The following is a 21,335-nucleotide window of genomic DNA, read 5'->3' on the forward strand; positions in this document are numbered from 1 at the left end:
TATCTTTACTGTATACTCTGCAATGTATGTTATATTTCAGGATTAAAAACAGATGTGAAAAAAATGTTTTGTAGTATTAGAATCTGCTTAACAGAGAAAGCCACTTGCCATTCAGCCACTTAACTCAAGGTTGAGTGCGGCTTTTATTCATGAAGCATCGGTGGCTGCTGTTTCTGCTGGTATCTTACTCTGCCCTTTAGTGGAGGTGATTTTTAATCCACAGCATATTTAATAGAATTTCCACTTTGTTTTGGGAGTTTGTTGAGTCAAATATACCAGAATCCCAAAGGAAAGAAGAATTCTACATCAACAATATACCAGGCAAATATTAAATATCTGGGGACAACTGACGTATACACAGCTAACTCCTATAGGTTGCTATCAAAGAGTAGCACATGGTTTTTAAACATCTAGTTTCACTATATAATTTATCTCCTGCATGAGAGAGGCAAAACATGTAGCTCAGGATAACCTGCATAACACGCACACACAAAGCACATCATAATATTTAGCTTCAGCTCTCCACCTGAAGTCATGGATTTTCAAATACCCCAGCCAATGGATAACTCCCAGCGAGGAAGAACATACGATTCCACTTTCACCCATCACTGGAGTTCTAATTACTTTGATTTAATGACTGTGGGATTGTATTTTTTTACTGTTTAGACAGATTCCTCACTAATACTTAACAGGCAAGAGACATTAAAATCCTGTTTGGTTTGACAGGAGCAGAGTTTAATGTCAGCTGGACTGAATTTGTTTTTCTAAGTTCTATTTTTTCAAAAATATCTTTGATTTTTGCTTTAACCAGAATTGTTTAGGAAACAAACTCTGTGCTATGTAGGGGGTCCAAATACATTTCTGATTCAATCATCGCATCAACATTTTACACACCACCCAGTTGATAATAAACAATTCACGTCAGACTTCCATCATAAATAGTCAGTGCAATCGATGGATGAACTCCACAACACTGATCAGCAACTATTTCTATTTAGGCAAAGTCTACAGCAAGAGAAAAATGTGTGATCAACCATCGGGATGTACATATTTACAAAATGCTTCTCTTCCAGGAAAATATTTTAATTTTTCTTGTATCACTGTCTGTTCTCTCTTATCTCCCTAAACTTATTTCCAACAAAGCACCTACCTCAGTAAGTTGGACTTAGGTTGTGTATCTTATGGACTGAGAGCATTTGGTGGCCAGTATGTTTCTCACATAGCAAAGCCATGAACAATATCTGATTGATGATTGTCAACTAGAACTACTTCTTGAATAAAATTGCATTTTACTTACTATTTTATTTGTAGAATATACCCATCTACTTTATATATCTGTATTGCAGAGCAAAAAACTTACCTTTGCATTATAAAATATTGAAAAATAAATAGTTTTATTATCTATAAAAATGTATAGCAGCACATATAGGAATGGTTGGCAGTGAAAGATGAATATTTTTAATGACTGAATTGTTTGTAACTAGAACATTCATTATTTTGATTCCCAAGGATAGATATTAATGGATAAGTAGGGTCCAGTTTGTATTAGCCTGCACCATGCTGGATGCAAATGTCATTCAACATTAGCTTTTGCAAAAGAAAGAATTTATTTACTCATGCATCTGAGAAAATGCTAAATGTGGCAGAGAATTTTGTCAGCTTCCCCAAAAGATATCACCCCTCTTCATTACTGATTATAAAAAAATTTTAAAATAGAAGTAGGGAACTTTGATGCCATAGTATAGGTTTTAAAGTCCCTCCAATAGAAGACGTGTAACCCTAGTTCCAACCAATGGCATATGAATTATGTCTATTAGTTTAATTCTAGGAAATAATTTTCTTTGATAATATAGAGTAGGTGAAGAGAAAATCTCAATTCCGTTTAATGCTTCTGATCACAATTCCTTGAGGAAGGAATGCCTGAAGCTGCAGCAGCTCCCTTGCAGCCAAGAAAGAGAGGCCAGATGTCCTGAAATTACTAAAGAAGTGAATTAAGCCTAGAACTGCATATTCCAAGCATTCTTACTACTCAGGAAGATATAATTCTATTTATTTGGGGTCTCTAATGATGTATCCTTATTCATTCTGGAATTTTATAATTTCTTTTCTCTTTTTCCTTGATGTATATCACCTGGGGCTTAGTTGAAATAATCTTTTCAAAGAGCCAATTTTAGCTTTATTTCCTCTATTTTATGTATATATTCTATCCCATTGACTTTTTTGTTTTTTATTATCATTTTCTTCCTTGGATTTTATCTTTTATTTACTTTTTTTCTAGGTTTTTAAGAAACTATGCATAAATTCTTTGAATCTATGTATAGATTTTCACAGATTTTGGATTGTGTTAACTTCCTATTGGATTGACCTCTTTATCACTGTGAAATACACTTTTTTATTCCTATTCATGTTTCTTTGCTTAAAATCTTTTTCCTGATATTAGTAAATCTATTTTTATTTCATATTTCTTTGATAATTATCTATACAGTATATCTTTATGTTCTTTCATTTTTAATTGTTCTGCATTCTTAAAAATATGTTTCTCGGTATCACTTTTTTTTCCATATTTTTCATTTTGGTAAAATACACATGACATAAAATTTACATATAAACCATTTTTAAGTGTAGAGTTCATTGTTATTAATACATTTATAAGACTGTACAATCATCAGCATCATCCACATCCAGAACACTTTTCTTCATGTGAAACTGAAATTTTGGACCCATTGAACACTGACATTACCATAACCCATTCAACATTATCCACTCCCTGCAGCTCCTGGCAACTGCCATTCTACTTTCTGTCTCTATGATTTTGACTTTCTAAGTACCACAAACCAGTGAAATTATACAATATTTGTCATTTTATATTGGCTTATTTAGATTGGCTTATTTCACTTAGCATTATGTCCTCACATTTCATCTGTTTTGTAGCATGTGTCAGAATTTACTTCCTTTTTAAGGCTGAATAATATGCATTGCATGTGGATAGCACATTCTGCTTATCTATTCGTCCCTCAATGGACACTTGGGTTGCTTCCATGTTTTAGTTATTGTGAATATTGCTGCTATAAACATGGGTGTGCAAACATATCATTGAGGCCCTGCTTTCCATCCTTTGGGGTGTATATCCAGAAGTGGAATTGCTGGATCCTATGGTAATTCTATTTTTTTTTTTTTTTTTAGTAACTGCCATACATATTTCACAGGGGTTGCACCATCTTACATTCTCACTATGTGTGCATAAGGCTACTCCAAATCTTTGCCAGCACTCGTTATTTCCTGGGTTTTTGTTGTTGTGGATAGTAGACATTCTAATGATTGTGAAGTAGAATCTCATAGGAGTTTTGATTTGCATTCCCCTGGTGATTAGGAATGCTGAACATCTTTTCATGTGCTTATTAGCCATTTGACTGTCTTGTTTGTGGAAATGTCTATTCAAGAACTTTGCTTGTTTTTAAACCCCTTCAGTGAGGTATTTTCATATATTTATAATACAGTTAAACTGTTTTTGTCACAGGCTACATTCCACACTTGGATGGCCCCAACATCCTAATTTTTCTTAAGTTGTATACATTAATGTTGAATCTTTGCACTATAAAGTTCTATGGGTTTTGACATATGCCTAATGCCATGTAGCCACCATTACAGGTTCATACAGTGAATATTTTCACTGTTCTATAAAATTCCCTGGGCTTCACATATTAATCCTCCCTACCCACTAACCCTTGGCAATTGCTAATCTTTTTATCACCCCTATAGTTTTTCCTTTTTCAGAATGCCTTGGAAATGGAATCATTTATATATACAATCATAAACTAGCTGCTTTCATTTGGCAAAATGCAGATAAGATTCACCCATATCTTTGTGTGCCTTGATAGTATTTTTGTTTATTGCTAAATAGTAGTTTATAGTGAGGGTGTGCCAGAGTTTGTTTATTCATTTGCTTAAGAATATCTTGGTTGCTTCCAGTTTGGAGCAATTATAAAGCTGCTATAAACATTCATGTGCATGGTATTGTGTGAACATAAGTTTTCAAATCAGTTGGTAAATACCTAGGCGTGTGATTGATTGCTGGATTGTATGGCAAGACTATGTTTAGCTTTGTAAAAAGCTGCCGAACTCTCTTCCAAAATGTACCTTTTTGTATTCTCATCCACAATGAATGAGAATTCCTGTTGTTCTGCATCTTTATCAGCAATTGGTGTTGTTTTTTAATTTTAACCAAGCTAATAGATGTGTCTTCTATTACTGTTTTAATTTGTATTTCCCTAATGACAAATAATTTTAGACATAATTTCTTATGCTTGCCATCTGTATACCTTCTTTGTGAGGTGCTCATTCAAATCCTCACCTAATTTATAATTGAGTTTTTGTTCTGAGTTTTTATTAAGTTATTACTGTTTTATTTAGTTTGAATTTTTTTATATATCTTAAAAACATCACCTTTGTCAAATGTGTTTTGCAAATATTTTCTCCAAGCCTTTAATTTGTTTGTTTTTTTCTTGCCTTTTCATTATCTAAACAGTGTCTTTACCTAAACAAAAGTTTTTAATTTTAATAATATCCAGCTCACCAGACACAGTGGGTCACACGTGTAGGCCCAGAACTTTGGGAGGCTGAGGCAGGCGGATTGTTTAAGCCCAGGAGTTCAAGACCAGCCTTGGCAACATGACAAAACCCCATCTCTACAGAAAATACAGAAATTAGCCGAGGGTCATGGTGCAAGCCTGTAGTCCTAGCTGCTTGGGAGGCTGAGACGGAATAATTGCTTGAGCCTGGGAGGTTGAGTTTGCAAAGAATCGTGATCCTGCCACTGCACTCCAGCCTGGGGGATAGAGTGAGACCCTGTCTCAAATAGAAAAAAAAAAAAAAAGAAAAAGAAAAAGAAAAAACTAGCTTATTAATTTTTTATTTAATGTGCATTGATTTTGATGTTATAATGAAGCTCATAACCAAACCCAGTCTTTCATATATTTTCTCCTGTGTTTTCTTCTAGTTTTATAGTCTTGCATTTTACATTAGTTCTATGATCCATGTTGAGTTACATTTGTGTTTAAAGTTTAAGTTTTGTGTCTAGGTTCAACTTTTTATTCACATAAGCATTGAAATGTACCAGAACCATTCACTAAAACAAAAACAAAAACAAAAACAAAACCCTAGACTTTCTCAATTGAAATGTCTTTGTGCTTTTGTGAAAAATCACCAATTTATTTATGTGGATTTTTGCTGGACTATGTGTGTATTTCTTCACCAATACCCCACTATCTTCGTTACTATGGCATTCCAATGTCTTTAAATAGGGTGGTGAAATCCCCTAAATTGCTATTCTTCAGTATGTGTGGATTGTTCCAGGTCCTTGCCTATCAATTTGTTGACATCTAGAAAATAGCTTGCTGAATTTTGATTGGGATTTCATAGACACTATAGTTCAATTTGGGAAATAGTGACATCTTAACCATATTGAAAATTCCAATCCATGAACACAGGATATCTTCTATTTAGATATTCTTTGATTTATTTCATTAATGAGTTGTAGTTTTATGAGTACTGTTCTTGCATATATTTTGTTATATTTATACTCAAGTATTTCATTTTCCGGTGCTACTGCAAATGGCACCAAATTTTTAAGTTTCAAATTCAAATTGGTCATTTCCAATATATAGGAAAGCAATAGACTTTTGTATATTTGCAGGCACTAGTGCTGAGACAAGATATTTTGTCCTTATTTCTGATTTTAGTGAGAAACTATCTAGTCCCTCATCATTAAGTATGACGTTGAATATAGGTTTTGTAGTTCTTCAAGTTCCCTTTTATTATTCATTTTCTGAGAATTTTTAATGATAAATAGGTGTTTGATTTTCTCAAATTATTTTTACTATCAATTGAAATGATTACATGATTTTTCTTCTTCATCCTATTAATATGGTGAATTCCATTGATTTTTTTTTTACTGTTGAGCCATCTTTGTATACCTTTGTATACCAAATCTTGCTTGGTAGTGCTATATAATTATTTTTATATGTTGTTGAATTTGGTTTGTTAATATTTTGTTGAGGGTTTTTGCAGCAATATTCATAAAAGTCATTTTGTCTGCAGTTTTCTTTTAATGCCTTTATCTGATTTGGGTATTAGCATAATGCTGGCCTTATAGAGTGACTTAGGACATGTTTTCTTTGTGATTTTCAAAAGAAAAGATTGTAGAGTCCTGGTTAATAATTAATGAGAATGTTTTTCTGTAATTAGAAAAATTAGAATTTGGATATAATAGATCAATAGTGGGGCTGGGCGCAGTGGCTCACACCTGTAATCTCAACACTTTGGGAGGCCAAGCTGGGCAGATCAAGAGGTCAGGAGATGGAGGCCATCCTGGCTAACACGGTGAAACCCCATCTCTACTAAAAATACAAAAATTAGCCAGGCGTGGTGGCAGGTGCCTGTAGTCCCAGCTACTCAGGAGGCTGAGGCAGGAGAATGGCGTGAACCTGGGAGGCGGAGCTTGCAGTGAGCCCAGATCGTGCCACGGCACTCCAGCCTGGGCAACAGAGCAAGACTCTGTCTCAAAAATAAAATGAAATAAAATGAAATAAAAATAAAAAATAAATAAATAATAGATCAGTGGTTCTCAAATTTCACTTGATAGTGAATTAGATGGGAAGATTTAAAAAACATACCATCCTCCATCTCAGAGGGAACTAATCCAAATTTCTGGAGTGGATGCTAGGAATTAATATATTTTAAAGTAACATCTCAAATCATCCAATATGAAGACAAAGTTAGATATTCATTTTTAAAGGCTGAACTGATTGTTCTTTAAATCTTAACCACCAACAGGACACATTCTATGACTTAAAAAATTCCCAGTGAGAAATCTAGGAAATACCAGGAATGAGTAGATGGTTAGTGATATTGCCTTCACTAGGGAAGACATCTTTGGTATTTTTCGATTTATATCTTCAACTGGAAAATATTTCTACATTTCTATTTGTTCTTTGGAAGAGAATTTCATTCTGGTGGGAAGACAGTTCCTTACAGACGGCATTTCTCTTAGTCCCAGAGAGGGTGGGGAGAAGGAGAGAGGCAAACATGCAAGGCCTTTTCACCGGCAAGGCTTTGTGCAGGCTTCAGGCAGTTTCCTCCTGAGCTGGAGAAGTGGAGGAGGCAGGAGAAAGGGTGAGTCATCCATGCCTCACTGGAGCTGAATTCACCTGGGTTATGAAAAGTGGCCTTGCCTTAACAAAAGAACATCCTCTGTAGGCTGATCGCCCCTAGGGATAGCTCACTTGGACTTCTGGTGCATTGAAGGACCTTGTCAGGAATCATTCACACTGATCACATTGTACCAGGCCTCTCAGTCTTCTATTTCTAGCTGCACCTTCTCCCTGACATTCCTCCTACATATTCACAAGGCAAACTCTCTGTTGAGTGACAGGAGGTGCTCCACATCCCTCAGAACCCAGGCAAGCTGCGCTGGAAGAGCCTTTTGTCCGCTTTCAGCTGTTCATCCAGCAGCACTTGCCAACCAGATGATACAACAAATGCTCAGATTGTTAGTGACTGAGTGTAAATTGTATTTAGAAAAATTAATTGTGGGCTACATTGTTTTTTTAAATAATCATATGTGCCTTTTATTTTTCATTATTATTGTAGCTATTATTTTATTATTGTTTCTTTGTTTTGGGGTTTTTGTCTTTTGTGGGGCTATATCATCAAATTAAAGTCTGGCATGCAAAATGGCGGGGGAATACATGCAAGAACTCTGTTTTAACATACACATATTTCATCAGAGAAAAGACTCTAGTCTCTTGTTAAAAGGAGTTATTAAGAGTTTACTGGAAATGCAGCCATCTCTGATGGCTGAAGTCAACCTGGAAGAATCTTTTGGAAGAAGATGCATCTTCATATAGAGACTTATTTGTGTCATAAATAATGGCATTGACGACACACTGGATTTAGGATGAAATAATGATATATAGAAGCTTTTAACAAACATTACACCATAAGAATAATTGTTTTCCAAAAGTACCCTTATTTCGTTATGTTTCCTGGTCTATTACCTATCCCCCATGCTTTCTCCTCCATATTTTACTCTCTTTTTTATGACTTTACTCAAATATGGATTAGATCATGGACTGTTCATGCTCATTCCTTAATCTTGTCCAGTGACAGCGCATTAAGCTTAGCCTCATGACGACACTATTTAATGACACTGTTCTGCTGTGGAGAGCAAATGTTATTTGCTCTTGTTTTGTTGAAGAAAATAACCCCTGTGTTTTCAGATTAATCTCCTCATGGTTATATGGGTATATATGGCCTTATGGCAGTTTGGCCATGTTGCTAAAGCTAAGCACTGGATCCTGATTGCCCACCATATTACTTATAGACACTAGGACAAATGATTCAAATAACATTGTTAAGTATCAAAACTATGCATCACTTTTCCTAGCGTTTCTTAAACCCATGCATTACTGCAAGTGGTCTGTGCCAATAAATGAAGCTGTTGCTGACAAGGGAGTTATAAAAGTAACTTATTAACACTCATGTTAGAAAATTCCTGTTATGTATTAAAAGTAAGCCCAGAGTTTGATTATCTAAAATACACAGACAGCCAAAGAAGTAATGTATTAGCTGTTCTCACCTAAAATGAAAGCTTTACTTAAGTTTGGAAGTGCTCCTATCTTCAATGACATCCCTATAGGAGGACCCCCCACAAAACCCAGTCTTCTGCCTGTAGTGTAGGTAGAGGCGTGGAACACAAGAGGGTGACAAGACAAATGATCATTCATTTAGACACAGGATCTTCTTCCTGTCAGCTTTCCCATAGAGGAACTGGTGTGGGGCAGCTCTGCCTTCATCATCAGGGACAATGGAGCAGAGGCTAATAGAAATATTGGCAGTGATGTCCCAGAGGGGTCAAACATGAGCCAAGAAATCTTCAAAAATCCACTTTGAAGAGCCTATCTGTTATGGGTTGCATTGTCTCCCCCAAAAAGATATTGATGTCTTCACACTGAGGACCTAGGCTACGCAGGTGACCTTATTTGGACATAGGGTCTTTGCAGACGTAATTAGTTAATATATAGCCATTAGTGTTTACCCTAATCCAATATGACCGAGTTCTTATCAAAAGGAAAGATTTTGATGCAGAGACCCACACAGGAATAATGCATGTGAACGTGAAGGCAAAAATTGGGGTGACACGTCTATAAGTCAAGGAACACCAGAGGTTACTAGCAAATCACTAGGAGCTAGGAGAGTGGCATGGAACTGATCCTTCCTTCCCTAGCACCTCCAAAGGAAGCACAGCCCTGTCAACACTTTGCTCTTGGACTTCTAGCCTCCGGAACTGTGAAACAATACATTCCTGTTGTTTAAGCCACTCAGCTTGTGGTACTTTGTTACAGCGGCCTAGGAAACTCATAGGCTATCCCAGCTTACAATTTCATGACTCCATGATAAGCCTTCTGCTTTAGGGTAGAAAATGTTTCCCAAAATATGTTCAAGAGAAAGGATATGAATCATTAATCAAGTTCACTCAGTCTATATTTCAAACTTATTTGATTTAGGGACTAGGATATATTTTATTTGTCTTTGAATAACAACTACCTAGTATTTACATATATGAATGATTAAAAAAACTTATATCCAAAACATGTAAATAATTCCTACAAGTCAAAAATTAAATACAACTCTTTATTTTATCTTATATAAAATAAAATAATGGACATACATCTCTGTGTTCACAAAGAAGACATACAAATAGTAAGCTATAACAAGATATGAAACATCATTATTCAATAGGGAAATGTAAACTGAAATCACTATGAGATAGCACTATGTGGCCATCAGAATTGCTTAAATTAAAAAGACTCACAACAACAAATGATTGCAAGGCTATGAAACAACCAGAACTCTCATATATTTTTAGTGAGAGTATAAGTTGTATAACCACTTTGGAAAAATGTCTAGCATTTTCTTAGAAAAATAAACATACACTTACATTATGACCCAGCAGTTCTACACCCAGACATTTCCTCAAAGGAAATGAAGCATACATTCACAAAATTACTTGTACATGAATGTTTAAAGCAGCTTCATTCAAAATAGCCAAAACCTGAAAATGGCCCAGGTGTCAATCAACTGGAGAATGGATGAATACACTGTAGAGTGTTTCTATAGTGGAAGACTGCTCAGAAACAACAAAGGCTGAGTACAGGTACACAAAACCCATCTGCTGAGAAAAAGAAACCAGACACAGAAGCATATACGCTGTAGGGTTCCATTCATAGAAAGTGCTAAGACAGGCGAAACGAGTCTTTCTTTAAACAGTCAGAAGAGTGGGGAAATGGGGTGAGCATTGACTGGGAGGGTTCCATGGCTACTTTGTGAAGTGACAGCAGTGCTCTGAAACTTGAGCTTTGGTTACACAAATGTGTGCATCTGCTAACTTTTAATGAAGGTACATTTAAGTTTGGTTCATTTCACACAACGTAAATTTTACTTAAATCAGCATAAAATATTTAATTGTAGTTAATGATACAGATTCTGAAGTGTTTAGGGGTGGCATATACAGGAATATGCAACATATTTTGAAATGCATCAAAAAACAGAATTGATTAATGGCTCATAAAAAGGCAGATAAGTGATAACGCAAATAGAGCACACGTCTGCTGTAGAACCCACGTGGGGTGTATTTGAGTTTTCAGCGCATCATTTTCCAACTTTTCTGTATGATGAAAGATTTTAATAATCAGATATTATATAAAGACAACTTCAATTTTGAGACATTAATGTGCCGATCAAAATTGTTTCCTGATAGTAAACCCCTTACGAGTGGGAACAGTCACCCCACCTCACGTTGGCTGAGTGGATATAAGCAGATGCTTCCAGGGGTCACCTCTCGGCTAAGCTCCCCCAAAAAACATTTTATTTGGCCTGTTTCTTGAGTCCATTGCCTCTTTCATTTCTTCACTGTTATCCCTCATCTCTTTCATTTGAGTAAAATTGTGATAGCATAAGATGCTGTCCTGCCTCGCAGTCATGTGAAGAAGAGTCCCACTGGAAGTGTGGTGGAATGGGAAGGCGATAGAGTCTTAGGGAACACTGCAGAGGTCCCTTTTCAGATCCGGACTGCTCATCTTCATTCTCCTTGTAGGTTACAAATAAAATAAAGGTCTTGCTGTTTTAAGCATGCTTTCATTTACCACTTGTTAACGAAAATAACAAGCTTAGATTTTGGAATTAGTAGAGGGGAGGAGAAAGACAGTGGGAATTGAGGATGCAACCTTCCCAGCTTAGAAACCTGAGATCAATTTTGGTCAATAAAAACATTTTTGGAAACTGTAGTTTGTGATATTTGGGCACATACAACCAAGCACCAACTGTAACTACAGAGTGAGGATAACTGGTAGGAAATACAGAAGGTATGGCTATGTTGGCTGCTGCATGCCACCTTCGGTAAAGTCCTCCCAGTGAAGAAGCATGAGCTTGGTGTAGTACTGTCAGCCTTCAAATAGAGACAGGGAGAGTTTCTGGGTTATTCTCTACCTGCAGTCCAAAATCTGTGTTGACTGAGACTGATTTTCTGTTTGTTTGTTTTTAAAATTTTAATACACTTTATTGCATATATTTGAGGTTTGCAATATGACGTTTTGGGATACATTAGTAAAATGGTCATAGTAGTGAAGCAGATTAATATATCTATCACCTCAGTTACTTTTTGTGAAAACAACCTATTTGTTTGCAAAAATCCCTAATACAATACAATTCTATTAACTTTAGCCTTTGTGTTGTACATTAGATCTTTAGAATTTGTGTTTCTTAAATTCAGATACTTACAGACATTAAATTAGGGATAGAGGAAACAGATAAATAATAGTTTTGCATCCTGTGACTGCTATATAATCCAATTATGAAGAAAATACACCAGTTCTGGGCTTCACTTTTCTCCACTCATTTTCAAATTCACACATTTTTAAATATTTCTTATCTATCAAGCCTAAATCAGACTGTCAAATCTAGTTAAACTATTACCTAGCATGAGTTTCTAAATCCAGACTACATGATTTAAAAAGCCAGTTTTTATATCCTAAACTGAAACTTGCAAATGCTGTAGCTGAAAAGCAACCATTTTAGTAGTAGATAATTTTGGGGTCTTAGGCCTTTTTCAAACACCTCTCAATTAGAATCTGCAAGACAAAGAGAGAAAATTTTCCACCAGGTCGTGATCAAGGATGTTGTTATTTCTCTAGATACTATTGTTTTGAATTGCCTCAGAACACAGCCCATAATTTAAGGGAGGGATAAGGATAGACCACAGAGAACTGCTGCTGAGATTAAATAGTACAATGATCTGATGAATATGCCTAGACAACTTTGGCTACAGTTACTCCATGTAGAATTAATAGGAAGTAGATAGACATGAATTCCGTGTTGTCTGAGAAAAGCGCATTGCCAACTCCAAACAGAGCATCAACAACCTTTTTCATCATCCACTGAGAAATCCCGTAATGCCCTAAATTTGTACCATAGAAGTGGGCTGCAAAATGGTACATCTTCCAGGAAGGATATTCTCCCTGGGGCCCACCCCACTCTGTTCATGGAGAAATTTAATGTGGGCAATCCACCCAGAAGGCAGAGCTGTTGGGTCATGAAGAGCAACAAAGGAGAAAAATGTCCCATAGATAAAACCAAGAGACTCACCTCTCTGTTAGGGCAAGGTACTTACTATTCCTTTTCAGATGGTCTTGACTTGTGCTATGTTCCAGGAACTGCTGTGTTGCCCTTTCTACCCATCCAGACCAAGAGATTATCTTGTTTCTTCTCCATTATTGTATGATGGGTATCTTGTGCCAATTGATTATCAGATGGTTAAGAGACACATCTTACCTTAGGCAGAGGACCGTATAATTCACAGAAATGCTAGACTTTGGGGTGGGTGAGACTTTGTGGTCATTTCCCTGGGGGAGTTAGGAAGCGTGTTTTAAGGATGTGTATGGATGGGAAAAGTGCAGGTATGGATGTTGGATAGACCAAAGAATGGACTGTATCAGATACTGACACTTGTCCAGATGATCTCAATCCCCTTTATTTCCAGCTAGTGGAACTTGCTTTGAGCAAGGTAGAAAAGTGCTCAGCCAAAACTATTAATTTTCCTTCTCACAGTCATGCACTCTAGTCTGGTCTTCCCAAGGATATATGTAAATGAACAATCCTTCTGAAGAGCCTTTGAAAAGGAATAGATGCAATTTTCTCTTTTTCCTATACCCTTCCACCTTCTTTCTGCTTAAAATGTGGATACAATGTTTACAGATAGAGCAGCCATTTTGCAGCAAGAATATAGAAAAATCAAAAATATAGGAGGAAAATGGGTCTTTGGTGAGCTTGCAGAGCCATTGTGCAGGTCCTTGGGGCTTGTCATAGCCTTTTCTTATTGCATGAAATATATGGAATCTTTGCTTATTTCAATTGCTTTGGGATATTTGTGTGCTTTCAGTCTGATTTAGTTCTAAAATAGAGGAGAGGCAAGCTACTTCATCTCAGAGTTTATATCTCAGAAAACGAGTGCAGGAATGGGATAAGAATAGGGAGTAGTCTTACCAATACTGGTTAACAATTTAATTTTTATCCTTAGTAAGAAATTTGCTTATTTCTCTCCAATTGAAGAATTTAGTTTTTTTTTCTTCTAAGACCCAATCTAGAAATTAATATTTCTGCTAAAATCTTTGTATAGCTTAGCGAAAATACATAGAGATAATTGAAAGTTCAAAGAGAGACAAAAATGTAGAATTATGGAAATAGTTTTAAAAAACGTTGTCAGACAGCATGTAACAGGCAATAGAAATTTATCAGAGACCACTGGCAGGAAATAGCCATTTTAGCAGAGTTGATGGAGGGTATTTAAACATTTAAACTTTGCATAACTGAATTTCTTCTGAATATTTCTGATTTCTTCTAAATCTCAAGGAAAACTTCTGATTTTCCAGGCCCTTCTGTACTCCCTTTCGTCTGATGCTGACTGCTTTGGTCATTGGAAGTCTCAAAGATTAGAGCATGGAAGGAAAGACCTGAGGGTGTTTTTCTCTGTCTGTCTCGGAGACATATCTGGTAGGGGCTGTGTGTCTCTCGTCTGCCAAGCCAGACAGGATTACCACAGTTGTAGCTGCCCTCAGGTTCCAGCATACTTCTTTTATCCTTTCAGCCTGGAGGGGAACATTATATTAATGATGTTTTCTGACTGTTGTATTATCAGTTCTATTTGGCATCTTTGTCTTCTGACACTTGTGTAATGCATTCTTTCTATTAAAGCCTCTGTTAAATTAGGGTGTCTTTTATTTTTCTGATTGGAATCTAGACATCCCAGCCACAGAAACGGTGGCTCCACAAGGGAGCTGGGCCTCTCCAGGTTGGTAAAAAGAATGGAGGAAGGTGGAGGCAGAGACAAGAAAATAGTTTTGCGGGCAAATGGATCCCATGAAGGGGGCAAAACTGTATCTCACATTGATTTAAATAATATGACTAGACCCACCCAGGGCCTAGTCTTGCCTATCAAGTAAGTTGCTTCAGTTTCCAAGAAGTTGAGTGTTGAGAATGTCTTAAGTTTTCTCCCTAGTAGTCCTGAGGGAACAAGAGTTTCTCTTTTCCGGGTAAGGCAGAAATGGGGCCTGAAATTTTTCTGCTGAGAGTGTAAATCCAGGATCAGAATACGTGCACGCAGTAAGAAGACTGAAACTCACATTATAATGAAAGAAAAGAAGAACCATCCAGATTGGACCAGAAAATATAACATTATCCGAGCCAAATGCATTTAAAAAACTAAGTTCAATAAAAATATCTTTAACATAAAAGAATTCAAAGGTAGACTATTACCTTCATTAAAAAAGTAGTGGCTTTATTGAACTATTATATATTGTTCTCATTAGTGACAGTGAGATGTTCCTTCTTTCAGAAAATGTTGTCTTTCCCCCATATTGTCAAAAATCGATGTTTAGTTTAGATAGAGCCTAACTAACCATTGCAGCCACTATCCCTGACCCCTCTCAAACACTTTATTGGACAAAGAAACAATAAGACAAAACAAAACAAAACCTCAAACCTCCACAGTCTTCTCTTATTTTACATTCTCTAGGTTTAATAATCCTACATTTTCTTTGGAAACAATAAAATACTATGTGAATGTGAGCAGGCTAGTTTTATTCTCATTTCACTTCGCATTTGTGTTGTTTGGTTTTAGGTCTAACAGGTAGACTGCAGCTCTACAGAAGGAATATTGTTTTATTTTACTTACGTGTAGGATTGAGCCTAATTCCCTTTCAGCTAACAGTGTATTAAGTGGCTCACAATAAAACAAAGGGTCAATAAGGGAGACGTGCCACCTTGAAAAGAAATAAAACTGCCATTTCCTCAGAAGACTTCTCTTATGAAGGAGGAAATAAGATCTTAATTGGCATCCAAACTAACAACAGCTGAAAGCCCTAGAGCCTGAGCGTAATTAGACCTCAAACTGAATTAGCTGGCCCTTTCCTGTGGCACTCAGAGGCAACAGGTGCCCCAGGATTTCTCCTCGGCTCCACTTCCTTGTTAATGTTCCCAGGTTGCAGGGGAGGTGAAAAAGGGATTAGATTTCCCTGGTAACTCTCATCCTGCAGTATGGATATTTTAGAAACCAATTATGCGGATCTCCCTGGGACACAGCCTTGGCTATAAACATCAGTCTTCTCAGGCCCTGAGTCAGGATGTCGTCCATCGATACAACCATCCATGGTATGTGTGTTAATTTTGGATAAATCACAGACCTAATGTTTTGGTTTCTGTGCTAAGTAGACATTGGCAGGTATTATTTCACAACAGTAAGAAAAAATGACCATTAAGAAAAAAATTATGCAGGGGAAGTTAATATTCAAGGCAACATAGCTTGTCATAAACCATGGCTATTGGCTGTGTTTTAGGCAACAATAAGAAATGAGACACACCAATTCGAATCTTTGTGATGATGAAGGCTTACATATGGGTGAATATATATTCCTGAAATAGACAGAAATTAACTGGCACAATGGCCAACATCCGCTAGAAAATATCAAGAATTGGTTACACTTCTAAAACTGTATATTGGTAGTTATCTTTTGAACAAAATAGAGCAGGTTTCAAATGAGAATGATTTTAGCTGTCTTGAAGGTTGCTGTAAGCTTTAGAGGAATTCATGTTTCAGAAGTATCTCATACAAAACCAGGCAGAAAGCAAGTGCTCAATAAATGTTGACTCTTCTCCCCTAAGTTATAAAGACAAACCTAAGTGGGAGTTTATCTTTTTTTTGTTTGTTTGTTTGAGATGGAGTCTTGCTCTGTTGCCCAGCTGGAGTGCAGTGGCGCAATCTTGGCTCATTGCAACCTCCGTCTCCCGGGTTCAAGTGATTCTCCTACCTCAGCCTCCCAAGTAGCTGGGATTACAGGCACCAACCACCACGCCCAGCTAATTTTTGTATTTTTAGTACATACGGGGTTTAGCCAGGATGGTCTCGATCTCCTGACCTACTGATCTGCCTGCCTCGACCTCCCAAAGTGCTGGGATTACAGACATGAGGGGAGTTTACCTTATAGGGACTGTAGTGGGACAGCACATACTCATGGGGACAGAGCCTGAGCAAGCACCTTAGTCAGATAAAACAGAGTGGCAAGGAAAATTAATTGTTCTGAGAAAAAGTCCACAACGACAGTTAAGATGCTAGAAATACAGATCCTCCCTTCTTGCCTTGTGCGTGGAATTTAGACGCCCACTTGTGTAACAAATATCCACATTTATTCTCGAACTATGTGAATGTGCTGCACCTTTGGTTTAAATGAATATGTGTCAAATGAGTTTACCACCTCAGTTGCAATTTATGTAATTTTTCCTCCTAATTTTCTTCCATTTATCTCAAGCTGTACAACAGAATCTGACCCAAACCACTGCAGCTGCAGCTCCTCCTGGGCTGGTGGAGGGCATGGGGCCCTGGATGCTCTCCCTGTTGTGTACAGCCTAAGATGGTAGCTGAAGATCAGAACTGCTGGATTGTCTGTTTTCCAGTGTATTTGTTGGCCTTTACCATACAGTGGGTCTTCTTGATTAAAAAATGTTGGCTCTAAAAGCTCGTAGGGCAGGCTTGGTACAGCATTTGCCGACCAGAGTAGCTGGTGTGATTCAGTCCAAACAGCTTCAGAAAGACAGGTGTGTCTCCTCCTTCTTCCTTGTGAACCCCAAAACTCCTTCCTAAAGACTTCCAGCTGCTGTATGTAAGTGACCACTTGAATGAGTTTCTTTTTAAAGGAGGAGAAAAGTAAAACAAACATCTTGTAAGTAAGACTAAGTACCAATGGTGCATGCAGGACTGTGCAGAGTAAGAGAGGTCGTCCTAAAGCAATACTCAGCTGGTGACCATAAAGTCTGAGTAGCTGTTCATCTCCTCCATGAAAGGATCATTCTCTTAGGGTAAGAATTGAGCAGTAGGTGCAAACAGTGGCTTTGATGCTGGAGGACAATTGATGATGCAGGTATCATTTTTCTCATATTGAGGTAGTCAAGGCCTATGACTTCCAGTTGGCTTGGCTTTTCTCTTGGTATTACAATGGCAATCAAGGTTTTACACAGATTGTTACAAATATAAATCATTGAGTCCACCAGCAAAAGAGCCCTCCCTTTCCTTCTACAGATGCTGATTGTAAGGTCTACAGCGATGTGACTAGAACCGTAGTCCACAGACTTCTGCTACGGCATCCCGCAACTACGATCGTCCCTCTGCCGAGAGATCAGCCAGCTAGCCAAGTGTAAGTCTATCACATTCCTAAGCACATGTTTCTTTTAGCTCACAGTTTTTCCGGAGAACAACACTTCGGTGGAGGAAGCAGTGTGTTGATTTCCTTGAGTATATTGTACTCGATCCTTATGTCTGACAGACTGGCACTTGGAGTAGCAGCGATCTAGAGGGTTTAAATGTCTAGAAGTAAATTACCTAGGAATTAGTGCCAAAATTGCCAGTAGAACCCACATGTCCTGATGCTCAATCCATTGCTTCTCATGTTCTAGTACATTGTCTTTCAATGATGTAGTACAAAACGTGTAATATTCTAAAGAGCAGTTATACATAATTTGGAAAACTTTTGGAGCTTTAAAACAGTTTATATTTTTTTACCCTCACCTTTGAAGGCAGGTTGACATTATTTTTATTAATAAGACTGAATAGCTGCTGAGTAATAGACAACAAATGTCAAATAAACAGGGAAAGAGATAGAGAATGTGTAATGGAAAGTTCAGGCTGCAGAAACTGATGATTTCCCCCTTCTCTGTGTACACCATTCATAGAGTAGCAACAATAAGAATGTGCAGTTTATAAATTAGAGGCTAAATGAGATCATCTCTGTAAACTGTTTAAAATAATGCCGGGAACGTAGTCAAATTTCCATAAATATTACCTACTAATAGTAGTACTACCAATAATTATAACTAAAATTTACATAGGGCCTAATATATGTTACATAAGTATGACAAATGCCTTGGATAAATAAGTTAATTTTATCCTTTCCCAGGCCTAGTAGCTAATGCTATTGTCCTCATTTTACAAATAAGAAAACTAAAGAAAAGGCAAGTTGAGTAACCTCTTAATGTGCCATAGTGAGTTAGTAATAAAGGGAGACAGGAAACCAGATGGTCTACCCCCAAATTGTTGGCATTTAACCACTCTCCCATGTAAATTCAACAGTAGCCACAGAAAGGAAATTCAAAAAATATGTATTTCTCATTATTGCATCAAAACCAAAAATATCAGGTCTTTGGAAAGACAAGCCTTACCTGTCTTTCTGGGGATCCAGAAAGAAAGTACTAAACCATGATTTCTCTTGTGGAGATGAGTAATAGACACAATTCCCAGAAGCAAGTTTGCAAAATCATACAGAGGTTTTCCCCATAACACTACTGCTTATATCACTCCTGGTGACAGTCAATGCGTACTTTTGAATCATGGTCTATGAAAGTAATTCTGTAGAATAAATATAATTAAATAGCTTTCCTATCACTTGCAATGCGTTTGGCAATTATAGGTTGACAAATATATGGGCTGACTTTTGGATGATAAATTGAAGACTGTGATATTTAACACCTCTCACAGATTTAGTTCTATTTAGGAGCCTTGTAATGGAAAGGCATATGTTTGGTCTTTTCTTTATATAGGTAGTACTCATTTCCTTGATGACCTCATACAGTTACTTGATTTTAAACAACATTTATATGATAACTACTCCCAAATTTAAGTCACAGGCTTAGACCCAAATTCCATACTCAAATTTTCAAACGCCCGTTCACATCTTTGCTTAGCTATTTAACAGGTCTCTGAAACTCAAGTCCTACACTAGGCTGATCTTTTCCCATTAACCTGCTCCATCCCCAGACCTCCCCCTCTCAGCTGGTATCAACTTGATCCTTTTCATTTCTCTGGCCAAGCATCTTAATAAGGTTGTCCTTGACTCTTCTGTTTTGTTCACTCTGTGTCTACTGTATCAGCTCATCCTGTTGGATCTACGTCAAAATGCATCTGTGGCCACTTCCCATTACTTTCCACATTTCTCCTTATCTGTCCATAGTGCTTGAAGCCATCATCTTCTTTTACCTAGATTGCTGTAACAGTCAGTCTATTTACTCCAGCTACTACTGTAACCCTCTTTAAACATGAAATGAAAGTGTGTCTTTACTCGGCTCAAAACCATATAATGGGTTGCATTTTACTCTGAGAAAAGAATCAGTAAGGTCAGAAGACACTACATAATTTTTCTGCCTCTCCTTCCCCTGACCCCCTTTTCTATACACCCCTTCCTGTCACTCTCTACCTCCCTCACTGCACTCCAACCCCATTGACCCTTATTCCTGGTTCTTGAATAGCAGGCATGCTTCTCCTTGGGTGTTTGCCATTAGTTTTTGTGGGTTTTTGGCCCTTCTTGTTGGAAGTAACTTTTCTAAGATAATCCGCTTTGTTAATTTTCTCACTACCGGTAAGTCTTCACACAAATCTTGCCTTTTTTTGTTTGTTTGTTCGTCTCCCAGGCTGGAATGCAGTGAGTGGCGCTATCTCTGCTCACTGCAGCCTTTACCTCCAGGGCTCAGGTGATGCTCCCACTTCAGCCAAGTTGCTGAGATGACCGGTGTGCCACCACGACTGGCTAATTTTTGTATTTTTTGTAGAGATGGGGTTTCGCTATGTTTCCCAGGATGGTCTCAAACTCCTGGGCTCAACTGATTCGCCTGCCTCAGCCTCCCAAAATGCTGGGGTTACTGGCATAAGCCACTGTCCTTGGCTAAATCTGGCTTTCTTAATGAGCCCTCTCCTAAGCCCTGCATTTAATTTTGTGTCAGTTTTCAGCTCCACCTCCTTCACTCCATTCCAGCTGTGATTCCTGATTTCCCCTGCCTATTGTACCTTTTCCTTTTTACGTATATTCATGAAACTCCAATACAATACCATATGATTGTATTGTGTATTGTATTTGTTGATTGTCAACTGTGGAGACACATTTTGGCTCAAGTTGGTAGTATTTACGTAGTTTGAATGGTCATGCTCTTGCTAGATGTTCAAGTGTGGAATGCCTCCAGGAATACTCCTACTACTCATAGCATCAACACATGATACAAACCTGTAGAGCCAGAAGTCAATCATGGCATGGACATGTCCTACTGCTCAGGGGGAAGATGTATGTGGGTAGTGAGGAAAAACGGGTTTGAAATATTCAATTGCAAGCCTCATTGCATAGCATTAGGGGATACAGTAATATACATATAAGACCACCTAATCTGCACACAACCTTAAGTTCAGAACTTACAATGGTTTATATTTGAAAACCTTATGAAATTAGCACTTTATTTAACAGGTGAAGAAACTGAGGCACAGAGAGGTTAAGTAACTTAGGCAAGGTCTCATGGTAAATGCAAGAGCTGGGCCTTGAACACAAATAGTTCCACATTCAAACTTGTACTCCTGACCTCTAAGCAGAATTCTTCAGTTAATTCTTTAGTTTTCTCCTGCAGTCCCCTCTGCTGAGGTTCACCAGTGCTGTCATGCTGTGAGCATAAGGTAACAATGGTATCATTAGTTTATCCTTTCCATAAGCCTATGAGGTAAACATGACAATGACTTCAATTTTAGGGAGAAAAATTGAGGTCAAAATTATTTAAATCTCAAAGGTCACGACATTCGTCCTTGGCAGAGCTGGAATTACAGTCCAAGTCTCCTGACTTTCAGATCAAAATACCTTACAAACTGTATGCTACCCCTCAGCTAGTGGTTTATGACATTGGCTGTCTAGAGAAACGTGCACGGTCTC

Source organism: Homo sapiens, chromosome 2 (assembly GCF_000001405.40).
Source record: "Homo sapiens chromosome 2, GRCh38.p14 Primary Assembly".
Classification (NCBI taxonomy): Eukaryota; Metazoa; Chordata; class Mammalia; order Primates; family Hominidae; genus Homo; species Homo sapiens.